Genomic DNA, 21,717 nt, shown 5'->3' with positions numbered 1-21,717 from the left:
TCTCACTCTTATTCATGAATAGCCCCTTTTTCTTTCTGTTGACATGGAGTCAAGCAAGTGATTTCAGGGACATCTCAATGAATCACTGACCGGGTAGAGACTTGTTTCAGGAGCAGGCTTCCTAGGGGCAGGATGTGTGCAGGGCGGGCAGGAAATGAATGGGCAACGAGAACGGCATCTGGTCAATGGCACAACCATCTTTTTCTTCTGTTACTTCTCTTTAGAGCATTTGCTCATTCAGCAAGAAAGTAGAGAACAGCTGCCGCATCTTCAGGGCTTCCTGGTTATGCTGCAAAGTGACTAGGGTCATTCAAAATGGGTCCCTGCCCTTAAGAAACTTATGCTCTATACAGAATCCCAGACATGTTTCAAGGACTTGAGAAATAATTACAAGGTAACTCACAATGTCTCTTCCTTTGAGGAAAAGATCAAAAGGGCTGTAGTACAATGAATCATCATGTTGGTGCCTGTTTGGATTGCCTAAGTGTTCCAGGGAGGCATTTGGACTGGAGGTGAACAGGAGCCAGGACTAGATTTGAGAGGCTCTTGACTTTCCCACTCCCTGCCCTGGATCTGATTCCTCCCCAGGAGCCTGGGAATTACAGTGTTGGTTCTCTGACTCACTAGGATGTCATAAAGATGGTGAGACATTGTCTGTCCTGCTCCTTCCGCCCTTTGACAGAAAGGCACCTCTAGAGATGAATACAGGGTGTTAATGCTGATTATAGCAGTTTCGATTTGCATTTCCATACACTAGACGACCTAATCCACTCTGTCTAAACATGGAAATCCCATAACTCTGCCCAACTCATCACTCCATTAATCCACTTAACCCCTGGCCAATACATAATCTAAATATTTAATCATGTCTATTTGTTATCTGTGTTTATTCCATGTTCATTCATGGTCTGAGTCTCCTCTCTGTTTATCCATCTCAGTAGAATCTAGTCTAAACCAGGAGAATCCCAAGGAGAGGAGGAAGAGTGTCTTATCCATTTTATTCTTTTCTGGCACATAGTACTGAACTTGGCACGTAGTAGGTGTTTGATGTTAACTGGCAACAATCTCTCAGAATAATTTTTTTTTTTTTTGCATCTTCAGAGAAATATTTTATTATCACTATCGGAGAATCTTACTGTTTCCAATGCCCACCACAATGCCTGGCACATACTGTTTAATGAGAAGTTGGATAATTAATCTTGGGTCATACAATGGGAGCAGGAGAATGCGAAAAAGCAGAACTGGTCTAGAAGGGAGAAGACTTAGAATCTGTTTTTGGTTCTGCAATAGGCTAGTATATGAGGTTGGTCAAGTCTTTTGAAGGCTCTGGGCCCTGGCTTTCTTGTTAGTCGTGTGGATGGATAGGATTAGAACCCCAATCTGCTTTGGCTCCAATATTTTGCCTAGATCTGAGGGCTATGGTATAGAAAAAGGCACAAGGAGGCGGGGGTTCATCAAATGTCAGAATGAGCGCTTCTTCCCACCATTACCACTGCCACTTAAGGACCAGGAAAATGGGCTGGAAACCAGGGCATCTGTTTCCCTCTACGCCTCCTCTTCACCCTCACTGGCTGTCCCTCACAGCCTGGGGTGGGGGGACTGCAGACATCTGCTCATTCCATCTGCATCAGCTAATGTTTATGCAGTGCCCCTGGATGCACGGGCCTGGAGTCACCTGGGGGAGGGCGTGCATGTGTGCAGAGGGCGGGAGGTGGGTCCTGATCACGCCAAAGCCTCCATATGGACTGTATTTTTCCCCATGCAAAACGCAAGTATGTGGGAGGTAGAAGGAGAGTGAAGGAGATCATAATTTATTGCTCAGTCATGTTTATTTTCACTCTTGGCTGGTTTAGGGCATTTTTCTTAATGTATTAGGGTCACAATTTTATCGACTTCAAGGATGCCTGAAAGCTCCGTGTCTGTGTGTGTGTGTGTGTGTGTGTGTGTGTGAGAGAGAGAGTGAGACAGAGAGAAAGACACAGAAAGAAAGAGAGAGAGACAGAGACAGAGAGACTGTGTTAAGATGACTTGGGTTTCTCTTTTTTTGAAAATTTTTCCACTAAACACTGAATTTGAACCTAAAGCATTAGCCATCCCTTCAAAAATATGATTTCCTTCTCACAGACTACTCACTATGTCTATCACCATCCTGTCATGATCACTTTAATTGGCTTAGATAAAAAAATCAAGATCTGACTCAGCTATTTTTTTTTTAAGAGATGGCGGTCTCACTATGTTGCCCAGGCTGGTCTCAAACTCCTAGGCTCAAGTGATCCTCCTACCTCGGCCTCCCAAAGTCCTGGGAGTAGAGACATGAGCTGTGAGCCATCACACCCAGCCATTTTTTTTTTTTTTTTGAGATGGAGTCTTGCTCTGTTGCCCAGGCTGGAGTGCAATGGCGTGATCTCAGCTTACTGCAACCTTCGCCTCCTGGGTTCAAGCAATGCTCCTGCCTCAGCCTCCCGAGTAGCTGGGACTACAGGCACACACCAGTACGCTCACCTAATTTTTGTATTTTTAGTAGAGATGGGGTTTCACCATGTTGACCAGACTGGTCTTGAACTCCTGACCTCAGGTGATCTGCCCGCCTCGGCCTCCCAAAGTGCTGGGATTACAGGCATTAGCCACTGAGCCCGGCCTCCAGCCATTGTTTCTTACCGATGCTTAATAGATGTACATATTTGTGGGGTACGTGTGATGTTTTGATACATTTATATAATGTGTAATAATCAAATTAGAGTAATTGGAATACCTATCACCTCATACATTTTTCTTTTCTTTATACTGGGCACATTTGAAGTATTCTCTGCTAGCTATTTAAAAATATACAATAGATTATTGTTTATTGTAGCCACTCTACTAATTTATCAAACACTAGGTCTTATTTCTTCTATCTACTGACTTAGCTATTTTTCCTTTTTTTTTTTTTTGAGAAGGAGTCTCACTCTGTTGTCCAGGCTGGACTGTAGTGGTGCCATCTCAGCTCGCTGCAACCTCTGCCTCCTGGGTTCAAGCGATTCTCTATCCTCAGCCTCTCAAGTAGCTGGAATTACAAGCATTCATCACCACACCCGGCTAATTTTTGTATTTTTAGTAGAGATGGGGTTTTACCATGTTGGCCAGGCTGGTCTCGAACTTCTGACCTCAAGTGATCTGCCCGCCACAGCCTCCCAAAGTGATGGGATTACAGGCATGAGCCACCAAGCCCGACCTGATTTAGCTATTTCTAAAAGAGACTTCCTCAACTTCTCCTTTCCTTCACCCATCTGTATTGCTGGGATTCCTTTGTTGTCTTTAATTATAACAGTACTAGCTGCTACTTATTAAGTACTGTTAGGCCCTATGTGAAGTAGTTTATATAACTTGATGTTGGAAAGAAATATTACCCTTTTTACAGATGAGGAAATTACAGTTCAGTGAGGTTAACTGAAATTGAAACACAAGTGTGACTGTATCTGTTCCTCCCCTGCAAATGAAGTTCTGAGAAAACAGGATTTTGTTTTGGTGAGCAAATGTCAGAGTGCCGGCGGGCCTCAGTGGACCGTGGGCCCAACAGGGGGCCCAGGCAAAATTAGGGCTCTGCATTCTTAGGAGGAAAAGCAGCAAAAAGGAGGAGGCGGTGTTGAATGCAAAGAAGGGATTCTAATGTTCCAGTGTTTTCCCAAGGGCTAATCCTTAGTGGTCAACAGAGGCAAGTTCAGGTCTTGGGAAACAGCTGTGATGGCTATTGCTGTCCTGAAAGATCTTTTAGCATTGGGGAAGCTCATCTTCCAGCAGGTGAAACTTTTGATGGTGCTTTAGTTCATTCATCCAGTGTTAGGCCCTGTGCTAGGGACAGTGGTTGCAAGGATGGGTAAGTTCGGCTCCTTGCTGTAGGGACAAGCAGGGAACACTTCTTTGTCCTCTGAAGGTTTGCTGAAAAATCAACTCACAAAAGGCCAATTTATAGGAGAAAAGGCATACTAATTTATTTAATCATAGTTTTTCATGACACAGGAGACTTCAGAATGAAGAACCAAAGATATAGGGGAAATTGCCTATTTTTTTTTTTTTTTTTTTTGAGATGGAGTCTCGCTCAATTGCCCAGGCTGGAGTGCAGTGGCATGACCTCGGTTCACTGCAACCTCTGCTTCCCGAGTTCAAGTGATTCTCCTACCTCAGCCTTCTGAGTACCTGGGATTACAGGCACCCGCCATCATGCCTGGCTAATTTTTGTATTTTTTTGTAAAGACGGGGTTTCACCATGTTGTCCAGGCTGGTCTTGAACTCCTGACCTCAGGTGATCCACCCGCCTCGACCTCCCAAAGTGCTAGGATTATAGACGTGAGTCACCGCGCCCGGCCGAAACTGTCTATTTTTATGCTTGGGCTCAACAAAGTATGCACAGCCATGTCGAAATAATGATTGGCCAGAAGTCATTATAATTAATCTGTGCTAATAGACTGAGTGGGGAAGCCCAGCAGGGCCTGTCTGTTTAGATTCTTCTTGGGTTCTCTATGCAGCATTCCTTCCTTGTGGGAATGGGGCCTGGCTGTCTCTGGAATGGGGGTCTTATGACCTACAGTCAAACAAGATAGGTCAGATAATTTCTTTTGTTTTCTTTCTTTTTTTTTTTTCTGAGACAGAGTTTTGCTCTTGTTGCCCAGGTTGGAGTGCAACGGCGCGATCTCAGCTCACTGCAACCTCTGCCTCCCAGGTTCAAGGGATTCTCCTGCCTCAGCTTCTCAAGTAGCTGGGATTACAGGCACGTGCCACCACACCCAGCTAATTTTTTGTATTTTTAGTAGAGACAGATTTTCACTATGTTGGCCAGGTTGATCTCAAACTCCTGACCTCAGGTGATCTGCCCACCTTGGCCTCCCAAAGTCTTAGGATTACAGGCGTGAGCCACTGCGCCCAGCCCAGATAATTTCTTTATGACCAGTTTTTACACAGAAAGGCAGGGGAAAATTAGAGTAATATTTGTAGGTTTTATGGCTGGTTTGGGGAAAAAGGGGTTCTGGTTTCTATGATCCACTTTGAGGAAGAGAGATTCTAGTTTCTATGGCTAGCCCAGGGGGAGAATGAGGGGCTGGAGACAGGAAGGCAGGAGAAGCTAAGAGAAACTCTTTTGAAGCCTTCATTTGGGGTATTGCTTTCTGAGCCCCAACATTGCCCTTAAGTGGCTCACAGTTTAACTCAGGATTCCTCAGCACCCAGCTGGATTGGGAACTTGGTATCTACTCATGGGCTGTGTGGTCCCCATGGTCCTAAGAGAACCTCAGTTTCCACACAACTATGACCCTAGTTCTCTTTCCAAGCACAGAGTTTTGCCATGGCAGCTAGCCTGTGATTTCAAATATACACAAATGTGAGCCCCCTCCATGGCCCTGTTCAGTGGCCATTCAGTAGTAACTTGTTCTGACACCCTATGACAAAGTTTTTCTTTCTTTCTTCTTCTTCTTCTTCTTCTTTTTTTTTTTTTTTTTTTTGCTTATATTTATTTCTTGAGACAGGGTCTTACTCTGTTGCTCAGACTGGAATGTAGTGGCACGATCTTGGCTCAGTGCAGACTCGACCTCCCCTGGCTCAAGTGATCCTACCTCCTCAGCCTCCCAAGTAGTTGGGACTACAGGCACATGCCACCGTGCCCGGCTAATTTTTTTTGTATTCTTTTTTTTTGAGATGGAGTTTTTGCCCTTGTTGCCCAGGCTGGAGTGCAATGGCACGATCTTGGTTCACAGCAAACTTCGCCTTCCAGGTTCAAGCGATTCTCCTGCCTCAGCCTCCAGAGTAGCTGGGATTACAGGCATGCACCACCACGCCCAGCTAATTTTATATTTTTAGTAGAGACAGGGTTTTTCCACGTTGGTCAGGCTGGTCTCAAACTCCCAACCTCAGGTGATCTGCCCGCCTCGGCCTCCCAAAGTGCTGGGATTACAGGCCTGAGCCACCGCACCCGGCCTTTCTGTATTCTTTGTAGAGATGGGGTTTCACCATGTAGCCCAGGCTGGTCTCAAACTCCTGGGCTCAAGGGATCCTCCCAAGGCACCTCAGCCTACCAAACTGCTGGGATTGTAGACATGAGGCACCATGCACGGCCTGACAATGTTTTTTCTGTATTAAATTTATGCTCTTATGGGAAGGATAATGTCTTCCAAATGATCAAGTTATTGCCAAGGTGGTACTTTTTTTTTTGAGACAGGGTGTCTCTGTGTTGCCCAGGCTGGAGTGCAGTGGAGTGATCCTGGCTCACTGCAACCTCCACCTTTCGTGTTCAAGCAATTCTCATGCTTCAGCCTCCTGAGTAGCTTGGATTAAAGGTGACCACCACCATGTCTGGCTAATTTTTGTAATTTTAGTAGAGATAGGGTCTCACTATGTTGCCCAGGCTGGTCTCAAACTCCTGAGCTCAAGTGATCAGCCTGCCTTGGCCTCCCAAAGTACTGGGATTATAGGCATGAGCCACCGTGCTCAGCCCTGATACTTTTAAAAATCACTTTTTGGAGTGGGCGCAGTGGCTCACGCCTGTAAATCCCAGCACTTTGGGAGGTCGAGGCAGGCAAATCACCTGAGGTCAGGAGTTTGAGACCAGCCTGGCCAACATGGTGAAACCCCATCTCTACTAAAAATACAAAAATTAGCCAGGCGTGATGGCACGCACCTGTAATCCCAGCTACTTGGGAAGCAGAGGCAGGAGAACTGCTTCAACCTGGGAGGCGGAGGTTGCAGTGAGCTGAGATGGTGCCACTGCACTTCAGCCTGGGCAACAGTGTGAGACTCCCTCAAAAAAAAAAAAAAAGGAAGGAAGAAAGGAAGGAAGGAGGGAAGGAGGGAAGGAAAAAAGGAAGAAAGAAAGAAAGGAAAGAAAGAAAGAAAGAGAGAGAAAGAAAGAGAAAGAAAGAAAGGAAGGAAAAGAAAAGGAAGAAAGAAAGGAAGGAAGGAAAGAAAGAAAGGAGAGAAGGAAGGAAGGAAGGAAAGAAAGAAAGAAAGAAAGAAAGAAAGAAAGAAAGAAAGAAAGAAAGAAAGAATCACTTTTTTTTTTTTTTGAGATGGAGTCTGGCTCTGTCGCCCAGGCTGGAGTGCAGTGGTGCAATCTCGGCTCACTGCAAGCTCCACCTCCTGGGTTCACGCCATTCTCCTGCCTCAGCCTCCGGAGTAGCTGGGACTACAGTCGCCCGCCACCACGCCCAGCTAATTTTTTTTCTGTATTTTTAGTAGAGACGGTGTTTCACCATGTTAGCCAGTATGGTCTCGATCTCCTGACTTCGTGATCCGAAAAATCACTTTTTGGGGTGGGAATGGTGGCTTACGCTTGTAATCCCAGCACTTTGGGAGGCTAAGGTGGGAGAATTGCTTGAGCTCAAGAGGTCGAGACTAGCCTGGACAACATGATGAGACCCCATCCCTAAAAAAATTTAGAAATTAGCTACAGGTGGTAATGCACCACTGTAGTCTCAGCTACTTAGGAGGCTGATATGGGAGGATCACTTTAGCCCAGGAGGTCAAGGCTGCAGTGAGTTGTGATGGAGCCATTGCAGTCCAGTCTGGGCAATCCAGTCTGGGCAACAAGACAGACTCTGTCTCAAAAAACAAAACGGAAAACCAAAAAACTTGGCCGGGTGCGGTGGCTCACGCCTGTAATCCCAGCACTTTGGGAGGCTGAGGTCGGCGGATCATGAGGTCAAGAGATTGAGACCATTCTGGCTAACATGGTGAAACCCCGTCTCTACTAAAAGTACAAAAATTAGCTGTGCGTGGTGGCGCTCACCTGTAGTCCCAGCTACTCCGGAGGCTGAGGCAGGAGAATTGCTTGAACCCGGGAGGCGGAGGTTGCAGTGAGCCGAGATGCGCCACTGCACTCCAGCCTGGTGACAGAGCGAGACTCCGTCTCAAAAAAAAAAAAAAAACCAAAAAACCAAAAAACTCCACTTTCTGATCATGGAAAAGATGTCAAACTTTCCTAAATCTTGAACTGTCCCCTTCATTCTTTTTACTACCAATCCTTTCTCTCTTACTCCTTGAAAACAGCAGGAGAGAAAGAGTGTTAGGGTAGCAATTTCAGGGTGATAAAGATGTAGCCGCATGTATAGCAAGGGACATTTGGGCATTTACATTAGCAATAATTCTGAAACATCAGTCAAACTACTTATTAATTCTAATATTATAGGGTTTTTTTCACAGTTGAATTTAATCAGGAAAGGTGAGCATAATTTAACTTTTGGTCCTTCCAGATTTATATAGAGGATATTATTTCCCTTTCTTTCTTTCTTTCTTTCTTTCTTTCTTTCTTTCTTTCTTTCTTTCTTTCTTTCTTTTCTTTCTTTCTTTCTTTTCTTTCTTTCTTTCTTTTTCTTTCTTTCTTCCTTCCTTCCTTTCTTTCTCTCTCTCTCTTTCTCTCTCTATCTCTTTCTTTCTTCCTTTCTTCCTTCCTTCCTTTCTTCCTTCCTTCCTCCTTTCTTTCTTTCCCTTCCTTCCTTCCTTCCTTCCTTCCTTCCTTCCTTCCTTCCTTTCTTTCTTTTTCTTTCTTTCTTCCTTTCTTTCTTAGATAGGTTCTTGCTGTGTCACCGAGGCTGGAGTGCAGTGGCGTGATCACAGCTCACTGCAGCCTCGAACTCCTGGGGTCAAGTTTTCCTCCTCCCTAGTAGCTGGGACTACAGGTGTGCACCAGTACACTGGCTAATTTTTTTATTTTTTGCAGAGCTAGGGTTTTAGGTTCTGCCTTGAACTCCTGGGCTCAAGCGATCTACCTGCCTTGGCTTCCCAAAGTGCTGGGGTTACAAGGCATGAACCACTGCGACTGGCTGGATCTTGTTTCATGACCCCTGTGCATAAGCATGTAGAACAAGCTTGTCCAACCTGTGGCCTGCAGGCCGCATGTGGCCCAGGAATGCTTTGAATGGGACTTGACACAAATTTGTAAACATTATTTAAAAATTATGTGTCTTTTTGAGATTTTTTTAAAAGCTCGTCAGCTATTGTTAGTGTTAATGTATTAAAGTAAATTAAATTAAGTCATTAATTAATTACTATTTTTTTGAGATGGAGTATTGCTCTGTTGCCTAGGCTGGAGTACAGTGGCGTGATCGTGGTACACTGCAACCTCTGCCTCCGAGGTTCAAGCAATTCTCCTGCCTCAGCATCCCAAGTAGCTGGGATTACAGGCCCCCGCCACCATGCCAGCTAATTTTATATTTTTAGGAGACACGGGGTTGCATCATGTTGGCCAGGCTGGTCTCGAACTCCTGACCTCAAGTGATCCTCCCACCTCAGCCTCCCAAAGTGCTGGGATTACAGGTGGGAGCCACTGCACCTGGCCAATTAATTAGTTTTTAGACACAGAGTCTTGCCCTGTAGCCCAGGCTAGAGTGTAGTGGTGTGATCTCTGCTCACTGCAACCTCCACCTCTTGGGTTCAAGTGATCCTTCTGCCTCAGCCTCCAGAGTAGCTGGGATTACAGGCATGCGCCACCGCACCCAGCTAATTTTTGTATTTTAGTAGAGATGAAGTTTTGCCGTGTTGCGCAGGATGGTCTCAAACTCCTGAGCTCAAGTGATCCACCTGCCTCAGCTTCCCAAAGTGCTAGGATTACAGGTGTGAGCCACTGCACCCAGCCATTAGTGTATTTTATGTGTGGCCCAAGATAATTATTCTTCCAATGTGGCCCAAGGAAGTAAAAAGATTGGACACCCCTGAGTAGAGAGTAAGTCCCTATGGGTGATATTAAAAACTAGTTCTAAGACATTGGATGGGACATTTACTGGGACTATATTTAGAGGTTTATTTTGGTTTTGTGTATATGTAGAGAGTTCTGAGGAAAACTTGGTCAGAGAAAACTGACTCATATTTCTTTTGGTATAGGACATGCTATGAGACCATGCAGATACTGCTCCACCACAAGAATGGAGTTTGGCCAGGCGTGGTGGCTCACGCCTGTAATCCCAACACTTTGGAAGCCTGAGGTGGGTGGATCACAAGGTCAAGGGTTCGAGACCAGCCTGGCTAACATGGTGAAACCCCGTCTCTACTAAAAATACAAAAATAGCCAGGTGTGGTGGCAGGCGCCTGTAATCCCAGCTACTTGGGAGGCTGAGGCAGGAGAATCGCTTGAACCCAGGGGGTGGAGGTTGCAGTGAGCTGAGATCGTGCCGTTGCACTCTAGCCTGGGCAACAAGAGCAGGACTCCATTTAAGAAAAAAAAAATGGGGCTTATTGGGTACAGTGTACACCACTATAGAATTCATACATGCAACCAAAAACCACTTGTATTTCTAAAGCTATTGACATAAAAAAAATTAAAAGAAAAAAAGAATAGGCCTAATGAGAGAAGGGGCCTGGGGCCCACTGAAGAAACATTGATTAAGGAATTGCTGTGTGCCAGATTATGACAAATTATTAAATAGTTGTTAGGTTGAATAACACATTTTCCTCCTCAGTTCTTCCTATGTGTCCATCAATGAGAGATGAAACAGGACTACACTAGTGTTTAGTTTCAATGAATGATAGTCACAAAGTACTTTTGAGGTTTCTTTGCTTATTCAAAGACTTCTGAATCTTGCTTTGGAAAACCAAAATGCAAAGGTATACATCTGTATTAGTCCGTTTTCATGCTGCTGATAAAGCCATACCCAAGACTGGGAAGAAAAAGAGGTTTAACTGGACTTACAGTTCCACATGGCTGGGGAGGCTTCAGAATCATGGTGGGAGGTGAAAGGCACCTCTTACATGGCAGCGGCAAGAGAAAATGAGGAAGATGCAAAAGCGGAAACCCCTGATAAACCATCAGATTAGCCGGGTGTTGTGGCTCATGCCTGTAATCCCAGCACTTTGGGAGGCTGAGGCAGGCAGATCACCTGAGGTCAGGAGTTCAAGACCAGCCCGGCTAAATGGTGAAACCCAGTCTCTACTAAAAATACAAAAATTAGCCAGGCGTGGTGGTGGGCGCCTCTAATCCCAGGTACTCAGAAGGCTGAGGCAGAACAATCAGTTGAACCCAGGAGGCAGAGGTTGCAGTGACAGGAGATTGAGCCATTGCCCTCCAGCCTGGGCGACAAGAGCGAAACTCCCTCTAAAAAAAAAAGAAAGACAAAAAACCGTCAGATATCATGAGACTCATTCAGTATCACAAGAACAACGTTAGGAAAGCCCCGCTCCCATGATTCAATCACCTCCCACCCGGTTCAAACTGTGGAAGTTACAATTCAAGATGAGATTTGGGTGGGGACACAGCCAAACCATATCAATGTCAAAGTCAAATTTTTGTATACCTCTTGACTCAGCAATTTTGCTACTGTAACTTATCCTGAGGAGATAACTGTGGATGTCCCCAAAGTTTTAGCTGCAAGGATGTCCATCTTAGTATTGTTTATAATAATGAAAGTTTGAAACAACTTAAAGGCTCAGCCACAGAGGGTTGGTTAAATAACACACAGTAAGTCCGTATAGTGGGATGCCAAAGCATCATTTAAAATAGTGCTGAGGAAGGACATTTTCATGACATGGAAAAATGCTGACACTATGCTGTTATTAAAATTAAAAAAAAAAAAAAGGTTAAGCCAGGCATAGTGTCTCACGCCTGTAATCCCAGCACTTTGGGAGGCCAAAGTGGGCAGATCACTTGAGGTTAGGAGGCAGAGGTTGCAGTGAGCTGAGATAGTGCCATTGAAACCCACCCTGGGCAACAGAGCCAGACCTTGTCTCAAAAAAGAAAAAAAAAATTCAAAAAAGGTTAAATACACGTATGCATATGATTGTATTATTGTTAAAGAATGCATATTCTTGCATAGGAAGAAAAAGACTAAGTATCTGTGGCAAAAATACTAATGGCTATCTTCGGTTGGTGAGGTTATGAAAAAAATTGTCTTATTTTTGAATGTTTATAATGATTACATCTTTCTTTCTGAGGCTGAGGTGGGAGGATCACTTGAGCCCAGGAATTAGAGGTTACAGTGAACTGTGATAGCACCACTGCACTCCAACATGGGCAACAGGATGAGACTCTGTCTCTAAAAAAATGAATGCAAAACCAAAAAACAAACAAACCAAAAAAACCACAAAACACTGCATAGAAAAGCATCAGATGAGAAGCTCCTTTTGGTTGGAAGCTGGATCTATAGTAACCTCCAGTAACCCAAATTGATTGTAACTTGAATGGTAATAACATATGTTGAGGGAAGATGTTTGACCTCAGGGCCTCTATATGTTCTAAAATTCAGAGTTTTGTGTTAATATTTTAAAAATATGTTACTTAGATACAGTTTTTTTGTGTTTGTTTTTTACTTCTGTACAACTCTGAGAAGCACCCAGGGATGAACTCTATTACAATGAGGCAGGCAAAGGGTCATGTCTGTGACCTTGGTGGGCATAGCAAGTGCAAGCAGGGTGTAGGTAATAAGACAAATGGTAACGATGAGGGATACAAGGATGCTTTTTTAGAACAAATATGCTATTTTATTTCTTTTGTTTGCAAGATATGAGATGACAATCCTGGTAAGAACTAAGCAGTGAGTTTTTTGAGTCTATCACATGATTCTGATGGTGGGTTTTTATTAAAAAAATATTTGAGCACATGTCAACTGCTAAGCCAGCATTAAGGGATTTATGGTGAAGACGTATCTTTTGTACAAGCTCTTTTGTGGGGAGCTACTTTTTGTTTCTCTCAATGGGGCATCCTCATGGTAAGAGGGGTGCAGAGGCGGCAGACGTTTCCAGTAGGATTGGGGGTGTTTCCCCCACTGCCCACACGTCACCCTAGTTAAGGTTTCTTCTTTTTTTTTTTTTTTTTTTTGAGATGGAGGTTTGCTCTTGTTGCCCAGGCTGGAGTGCAATGACACAATCTCCGGCTCACCACAACCTCCGCCTCCTGGGTTCAAGTGATTCTCCTGCCTCGGCCTCCCAAGTAGCTGGGATTACAGGCATGTGCCACCACAACCTGCTAATTTTGTACTTTTAGTAGAGACGGGGTTTCTCCATGTTGGTCAGGGTGGTCTTGAACTCCCAACCTCAGGTGATCCGCCTGCCTCGGCCTCCCAAAGTGCTGGGATTATAGGCGTGAGCCACCATGCCCGGTGGTTAAGGTTAGTTCTGGTTCTTGACTAGCTGGCTAGACTGTAATACCAAAGTGCTGGGATTACAGGTGTGAGCCGCCAGGCTTTCTTTTAAATTTTTCATAGTACAGGGTCTCACTATGTTGTCCAGGCTGCCCTGGAACTCCTGGCCTCAAGAAATCCTCCTGCCTCAGCCTTCCAATATTCTCTCTAATAGAGAATATTTCCACAGCGTCTTTGCTTCTGCTTGCATTATTACATTCAATCCTCTTTGCAGTATTGTGATTATTATGATTTAGAAATGAGGAAAACAAGTTAACCCAATATGGAGGTCTGTGAGTGACACAGCTGAGGTTTGAACCCACGTCTCTGACATCAGATCTTATTCTTTTCTATAATTTTCTGCTGGCTGACGTCTCAGGGACAAAATACTATGTAATATTTGGCCAGCAATTTTCTAGCTTAAGTTGACATGGTTAGCTTTTATAGGTCGAAAAATAATAAAATATATCTTTTATCTGGTATATTTTAAATAAATATTTTAGTTCTTTTTCAAATGCTTATTTCATATTGTCTACAAAATTTTACATTGTGATATAATATAAACCTGATAATATAAACGTACTTTGTATTTATAGCATCCCTAAAAAATTGCAAACATTCTCAATGGAGTGAATTTTTAATCCATTTTTGCATCTTGAGAATCTGAGACTGGACAAATAGATAAGACTCTGATGACAGACATGGAAATAGAAGACATAAATCTTGACCAGGTGCAGTGGCTCATGCCTGTAATCCCAGCACTTTGGGAGGCTGAGGCAGGCGGATCACGTGAGGTCAGCAGTTCGAGACCAGCCTGGTCAACATGGCAAAACCCCGTCTCTACTAAAAATACAAAAATTAGCTGGGTGTGGTGGCAGGGGCCTGTCATCCCAGCTACTCAGGAGGCTGACGCAGGAGAATCGCTTGAACCTGGGAGATGGAGGTTGCGGTGAGCCGAGATCACACCATTGCACTCTAGCCTGGGCAACAAGAGTGAAACTCAGTCTCAAAAAAACCCCCAAAAGACCCCATAAATCTTGAGAACCTAATTCTATGTAAGAAATTATCCATTTGCTTCACTTGCAATAGCTTTTCTGTGATTAGAAAATCCGTTTGGATACGTATTTGGCAAGTGATGTGTTAATTGGAGTGGCGGGCTATAATTGGAGTTCTTGGGAAAACTCGACATCATTAAGGTAACATTGTTTTTTGAAATGAATGTCTCTAGGGAATGGGCACATATTATCCCACTACTCCTAAAATGACCTTTGTGGGCTAGCTATTCCATGTGTGCCCCTTATTGCCATCACTGGGACTGATGATGGTGTTAAGGGGAAACTGAGGCCTTGCATTGAGAAGTGAGGTGGGCTGGGTGCAGTGCCTGTCTGTAATCCCAGCACTTTGGGAGGCTGAGATGGGAGGATTTCTTGAACCCAGAAGTTTGAGACTAACCTGGGCAGCATAGCGAGACCTCCGTCTCTATTTTTGTAAAAAAATAAAAATAAAAATTAAATTAAAAATAAAAGAGAAGTGGGGTGGGGGGAGGGGGAGGGATAGCATTGGGAGATATACCTAATGCTAGATGACGAGTTAGTGGGTGCAGCGCACCAGCATGGCACATGTATACATATGTAACTAACCTGCACAATGTGCACATGTACCCTAAAACTTAAAAGTATAATAATAATAAAGAAAAGTTAAAAAATAAATAAATAAATAAAAGAGAAGCGAGGTGTCTGAGGCCCCCTGGAGAGTGAAGGCTCCTGACCACATACTCTGAGTGAGGATGTATAGGACCTAGATGGGAGATAACTTAAGCACTCAAGCCTTAAGAGTCAAAGGCAGACTAGAGTAATGGCCTCAAACTTTATGAGGGTGAGGACCCCTTGTTAATATCAAAGAGTTTAATGAGCCTCATGTGATAGTCGTTATACTTTTAATTACCTTATTGCTGGAAACTACTGAGTATGGATTTGCAACCTCATTGCAATTAACCCGTAGGGATCTGTGTCCTACAGGGTAGGAACCAATGGCAAGGAGCAAGGGGCCCTGGATTTTTGGTACCCAGCCTGGATACTAACATCCCCAATTCCTTTACTTTCAACTGGCTCTCCTTGGTTTTCCTATCCTATTTGCTCTGAGCATGTATAATCAGGATTATGTGAGTGAGCTCTCTGGGGAACCTTCCATTTTGTACATGTGGATATAACCTCCCAGAAAACTCCAGTGGAGTCCATCGCACTAGATACAGTTGCTCTTAGTAAGTTCATAGGGAGATAGTTTGGGCTGATTAATTTTTGTTCTTCTTTGTATGAATGAACTTTTTGATAATCACCAAGAAGCTGGATCTTGTTAACTTATCTTCTGAAATAAAATTATGCAGAAATATATATTGGTTTCCTGACCTGGAAACATATTCCCCTCCATCTGTGTTTATTATTATTATTATTTTGAGACAGGGTCTCTCTGTTGCCCAGGCTGGAGTATGATGGCACCATCATAGCTCACTGTTACCTTAAATTCCTGGGCTCAAGTATCCTGTTGTCTCAGCCTCCCGAGCAGCTAGGACTACAGCAGGTGCATGCCACAACGCCTGGTTAATTTTTTTAAAAAATTATTTATTTATTTATTTATTTGAGACAGGGTCTGGCTCTGTCACCCAGGCTGGAGTACAGTGGTGTGATCTCAGTTCACTGCAACTTCTGCCTCCCAAGCTCAACCCAACCTCCCACCTCAGCCTCCCTAGTGGCTGGGGCTATAGGCACACACCAGCATACCTGGCTAATTTTTATCTTTTTTCTAGGGACGAGGTCTTACTATGTTGCTCAGGCTGGTCTCAAACTCCTGAGCTCAAACGATCTGCCCGCTTCAACCTCCCAAAATGCTGGGATTACAGGCATGAGCCACCATGCTTGGCCCTGGCTAACTTTTAAGTTTTTTTCTAGTACAGGATCTCATTATGTTGCACACGCTGCTCTTGAACTCCTGGCCTCAAGCAATCCTCCTGCCTCAGCCTTTCAAAGTGCTGGGATTATAGGCATGCGCCACTGTGTCTGCCCCCCATCTGTGTTTTCTAAATTTTCCATCATCATATGTATTTATTTGAGGAATACAATGAATTTAAAAGCATACCAGCTTTAATTTCTGCACTTGGGACTCTGTGGATTTGTTCTCCCCTGCCATTCTTATTCTTCTCTACTGACACTAATAGAAGCAAGCACACTACGAATCATGATGTCGGTCTAAGACCACAGTGGCCTGGTAAAGGACTGTGCACCCTTGGGGTATGCTTGGATCCAAGCGGGTAGGACTAGAGACCGTGTTCGTGGGTGGGTGGATGTTTTGGAAACCATCTACTGAATGATCTGTATTGTGTATAAAAACAATAATTTTCCAGGCAGGGCTTTTTGTTGTTGTTATTGTTATTGTCTGTCAAGCTCAGTAGTGGCTCAGCGTGAGCTCGGTGATGACAGGAGCAGTTGACAATTGGGATGGAAAAGGGAATGGCTCACCTCTGAAACGCCGGCTCCATGGGAGGCTGGGGGTTTGTATAGCAGTGACATGATAATCAGAAGTGCAATTTCGCCCCAGCAATATAGATACTGTACCCAGGTCTGGCTGGGTCTTCTCTCTTTGAAGGATAAATTAAGCTGTTTACTCCTGTGCTGTTTATTAACTGCCTGACCTGATTTCCATTACCCAGCATCTGGAAACTTGGTGTCTTAAGTTCCCCGGCTGAGGCATCACCATGTCCTGAAATAAACGTTATTTCACACTAGTCTTTATTCTATAGGGAAATATCATGACATAGGGAGCTTTTTATTATTTTTTTAAAATTCATGGCACTTCAGAACAGAGCACAGAGGGAGATAGAAATGCCAGTGAACTTACTTTTTAGGTCAAATTCCATCTATCCTGGTCTTTTCCAGCCAGGAACAAATTCTACTGTTTGGTTTTCTAGGAGAAAAACTTTTAGTCTCAAGAGAGGCTAGCGCAGGCCAGACGTGGTAGCTCACGCCTGTAATCCCAGCACTTTGGGGGGCTGAGGCAGGCGGATCACCTGAGGTTGGGAGTTTGAGACCAGCCTGGCCAATGTGGTGAAACCCCATCTCTACTAAAAATACAAAAATTAGCCAGATATGGTGGTGTGCGCTTGTAATCCCAGCTACTTGGGAGGCTGAGACAGGAGAATCGCTTGAACCCGGGAGGCGGAGGTTGCGGGGAGCAGAGATGGCGCCACTGTACTCCAGCCTAGGCAACAAGAGTGAAACTCCATCTAAAAAAAAAAGAGAGAGAGAGAGACAGAGGCTAGCACCAGATAATGCTTCCAAGTTTTCAACACTACAATCTAGCCTAAACTGCAGTTGGTGTCCATTCACCTGACTAACCTGAGCATCTGCGGGTCTCGCTGGCTGGCGGTGACGGAGTAAATTCTGCTGGTGCAGTCATCCTGCCTTGCCTCACAGCCATTCCTCTTGGATGTTCTCTGTCCTTCCAGTTCCTTGGTGGGTGCCTTGCTTGTAACCCCTGATGGCGCCTGTTCCTTGCCATCAGCGTCTCCAGGGATGCTGCCTTATTTGCTTATTATCTTGCTTGCTGCTATTGCTTGGACCACGCTAGGGGCTACGATGTGTTCCTGCCACGTTGGGCTGGTCTTCCAGGGACACTAGCATTTCCTTGGTGGGCTGCTTTCGGGTGTAGTTATGGCACACCATTGCCCAGACCCCTTGACGCGCTATGTGTGCTGCTCCTGGTGCTGTTGTGTTGACAGGTTCTCTCTCTCCTCGTGCACTTCTGCTCCTTCTAAATGTTGACACTGTACCTGCCACGTACCAGGAAGCGGTGCTGTAATTGTAATAGGTTTGTTACCCAAAGCACACAGCAGGTCAACATGCTGAGACACTCAGTTGCAGCAGAGAAAGAGGGTTAATGGTAGGGCTGCCAAGTGGAAATAGGAGGAAACCATCTATCCAAGGAGTCTGGGGCAAGGGTTTTGGAATGGGCCAAAGTGTGGAGATGATTGACTGGTGGGAGTGTGCAGGGTAAAATCAAGGACTAGGGAGAGGAAGAAGCTGTATTCTCATGCTGATCCCATTCCTCTGTGGGGGTCTTCGAACTAGTTGCTGGAATTCTGGGTCTGAAAAACATCATAAGTCATCCTTAAACAAAAGCCGTATGACCCTAGTATCAGAGATCCTGTCTCTAGGAACAAGGCGGATGCAAATGGTCACTATCTAGTGCTACATGACTTTTAGCAACAAGGAAGTGGGCCACAGTGCAGCCTGATTAATGCTTCATAATAACTCTACTTCTTTTTTTTTTTGAGACAGAGTCTTGCTGCGATGCCCAGGCTGGAGTGCAATGGTGCGATCTCGGCTCACTGCAACCTCTGTCTCCTGGGTTCAAGCTATTCTCCTGTCTCAGCCTCCCAAGTAGCTGGGACTACAGGCGTGAGCCACCATGCCCAGCTAATTTTTGTATTTTTTATTAGAGATGGGGTTTCACCATGTTGGCCATTCTGGTCTCAAACTCCTGACCTCAAGTGATCCGCCTGCATCGGCCTCCCAAAGTTCTGAGATTACAGGCATGAGCCACCATGCCTGGCCTATAACTCTATTTCTGTCCAGACCTGGCATGCAATTCTTTTCAACTCTATGGGGACAGTTTCAGCACCCTGATGTTCCCTTGGGCCATCGCCATGTCCCTTCCTCCTCAGCCTCGGGAGTATGTCCGGAGAATGTGGCACACTCAGGGCAAGACAATAGCAGGGTGCTTAGTGGCCGGGCCCAGGAGCCACTGCCTGCCTGGGTTTTAATCCCAGCTCTGCCATATTTTATTTTATTTTGTTTTGTTTTATTTTATTTTGAGATGGAGTTTCACTTTGTCACCCAGGCTGGAGTGCAGGGGAGTGACCTCAGCTCACTGCAACCTCTGCCTCCCGGGACCAAGCAATTCTCCTGCCTCAGCCTCCTGGGTAGCTGGGATTACAGGTGCCACCACCATGCCCAGCTAATTTTTTGTACTTTTAGTAGAGATGGGGTTTCACCACGTTGACCAGGCTGGTCTCAAACTGCTGACCTCAAGTGATCTGCCCACCTCGCTTCCCAAAGTGCTGGGATTACAGGCGTGAGCCACTGTGAGGCCCCAGCTCTGCCATCTACCATCTGTGTGTCCTTGTGCAGTTTACTCCCTCTCTGTGCTTGTCTCCTCATCTGTGAAATGAGGCTAGCACCAGCGAATCTCCTCCACAGAGCTGTGAGAAAGAATAGTGCTTGGCACATGGTCAATTTTTTTTTTTTTTCTGAGACAAGGTCAGGCTGGCTCTACTGCCCAGGCTGAAGTGCAGTGGCACAATCTTGGCTTACTGCAACCTCCGCCTCCTGGGCTCAAGTGATCCTCCCACCTCAGCCTTACTAAGTAGCTGGGACTACAGGTGTGTGCCACCATGCCCAGATAATTATTGTATTTTTTGAAGAGATGGGGATTTTACCATGTTGTCCAGGCTGGTCTTCAACTCCTGAGCTCAAGAGATCTGCTTGCCTCGGCCTCCCAAAGTGCTGGGATTATAGGTGAGGCACTGTGCCCAACCATGGTAAGTTTTTAAGACACAATTAACTATTGTTATTATCCTGCTCTTCACGTTATTGAACACTTTTTCCTGCAGTTCTAGGTTTCCAGTGATTGCTTTGGTCTCACCAATACAGACATGACCTTCCCTTTCCTTTTGTTGTATTTTCTTGAAAGGGCTCCCCCAGCAGACAGACCAGGGCTCTAATGATGCTGCAGTTTTAGTTTTTTCTCCACAGATCTTTTTTCCTCTAGAGTAGCACTGTCCAGTTCAGTAGCCACATGTGATCAGTGGCTACTGAGTCCTTGCAATGTAGCTAGTCATATCTGAACTGTGCTGTTAGTGTAAAATGCACACTGGAATTCAAAGACATAGTATGAGAAAAAGAATGTGTGTATGTGTGCATATGTGGAGATATATATATATATATATATATATATATATATATATGAGACAGGGTCTTGCTGTGTTGCCCAGGCTGGAGTGCAGTGGCACAATCATAGCTTACTGCAGCCTCAACCTCCTGGGCTCGAGCGATTCTCCCACCTCAGCCTCACAAGTAGCTGGGACCACAGGCGCGCACGACCATGCTTGGCTAATTTTTGTATTTTTTGTAGAGATGGGTTTTTGCAGTGTTGCCTAGGCTGGTCTTGAACTCCTGGGCTGAAGTGATCCACCTGCCTTGAACTCCCAAAGTGCTGGGATTATAGGTGTAACTCACTGCACCTGACCAAAATAGATATATTTTAAAATTTTTTATTCTAATAGAGACAGGGTCTGGCTATGTTGCCCAGTCTAGAGTGCAGTGGCTACTCACTCCCACTACTAATCAGCATAGGAGTTTTGGCCTGCTCCACTTCTGACCTGGGCTGGTTCACCCCTCCTTAGGCAACATGGAGGCCACCATAGTGATGCTGAACTTAGTGCGGACACCTCATCGGCATCATGTGTGACAGTTCAGAACTCCTAGGCTCAAGTGGTCCTCCCACCTCAGCCTCCCAGGTAGCTGGGACTACAGGCACGTGGTTATTAATAATAACAATATCAATAATAATATTGATTGCCTGTTGAAATGATGTTTTGAATATATTGGGCCAAGGGAGATATATTATTAACATGAATTACTGCTGTTTGTAATTATCCTTTTTTTTCTTTTGAAACGGAGTCTCGCTCTGTCACTTAGGCTGGAATGCAGTGGTGCAGTCTCGGCTCACTGCAACCTCTGCCTCCAAAATTCAAGCAATTCTCCTGCCTCAGCCTCCCAAGTAGCTGAGATTACAGGTGTGCGCCATCACGCCCAGCTAATTTTTTTTTTTTTTTTTTGTATTTTTGTATTTTTAGTAGAGACAGGGTTTCACTACGTTGGTCAGGCTGGTCTCGAACTCCCCACCTCAAATGATCTGCCCGCCTCGGCCTGCCAAAGTGCTGGGATTACAAGTGTAAGTCACCACGCCCAGGCTGTTTATAATTATTCTTAATGTGGCCACTAAAACAATTTTTAAAATTACAGTAAAATATATATAATATAAAGTTTGCCATTTTAGTCTGGGTGCGGTGGCTCACGCCTGTAATCCCAGCACTTTGGGAGGCTGAGGCAGGGTGGATTACCTGAGGTCAGGAGTTCAAGACCAGCCTGGCCAACATGGTGAGACCCCTGCCTCTACTAACAATACAAAAAAATTAGTTGGGCATGGTGGCGCACATCTGTAATCCCAGCTACTGTGGAGGCTGAGGCATGAGTATCACTTGAACCTGGGAGGCAGTATTACTTTGGGCTAAGGTTCTTTGATTTCTGGAAATGTTTCATAGCCCACGGTGGTCACAATTAAATGTGGTCAGAACTACATGGGGAGCCCAATATTATTCTAATTGCTGTGTGAATGAGGGCTGAAATCACAGCCCAGCCTGACAAATCCTCTTTGGTTTCAGGGACTTTAACAAATCTTTATAGATAAATGTGCGTGGCTCGCTCTCTCTCTCTTTTTTTTTTTTTTGGAGAGATGAAGATCTAGCTATGTGCCCAGGCTGGTCTCGAACTCCTGGCCTCAAGAGATCTGCCTGCCTCAGCCTCCCAAAGTGTTG

The 21,717-nt window shown here is 44.9% G+C and overlaps 1 pseudogene, besides 1 other annotated feature; it reads right to left on the bottom strand.

Moving 5' to 3' along the window:
- Nucleotides 1-1,200: an enhancer, noted in NCBI's record as "CDK7 strongly-dependent group 2 enhancer chr6:15132654-15133853 (GRCh37/hg19 assembly coordinates)". NCBI's record gives its function as "activates an origin of replication core promoter dependent on BRD2, BRD4, P300/CBP, MED14 and CDK7 cofactors, with strong dependence on CDK7, by STARR-seq in HCT116 cells {active_cell/tissue: HCT116}" and the evidence as "EXISTENCE:reporter gene assay evidence [ECO:0000049][PMID:35650434]".
- RN7SL332P (RNA, 7SL, cytoplasmic 332, pseudogene) lies at nucleotides 20,402-20,655 on the bottom strand (annotated as a pseudogene).

Source organism: Homo sapiens, chromosome 6 (genome assembly GCF_000001405.40).
Source record: "Homo sapiens chromosome 6, GRCh38.p14 Primary Assembly".
In the NCBI taxonomy this organism is placed as follows: Eukaryota; Metazoa; Chordata; class Mammalia; order Primates; family Hominidae; genus Homo; species Homo sapiens.
This window is presented reverse-complemented; position numbering and strand designations above follow the sequence as displayed.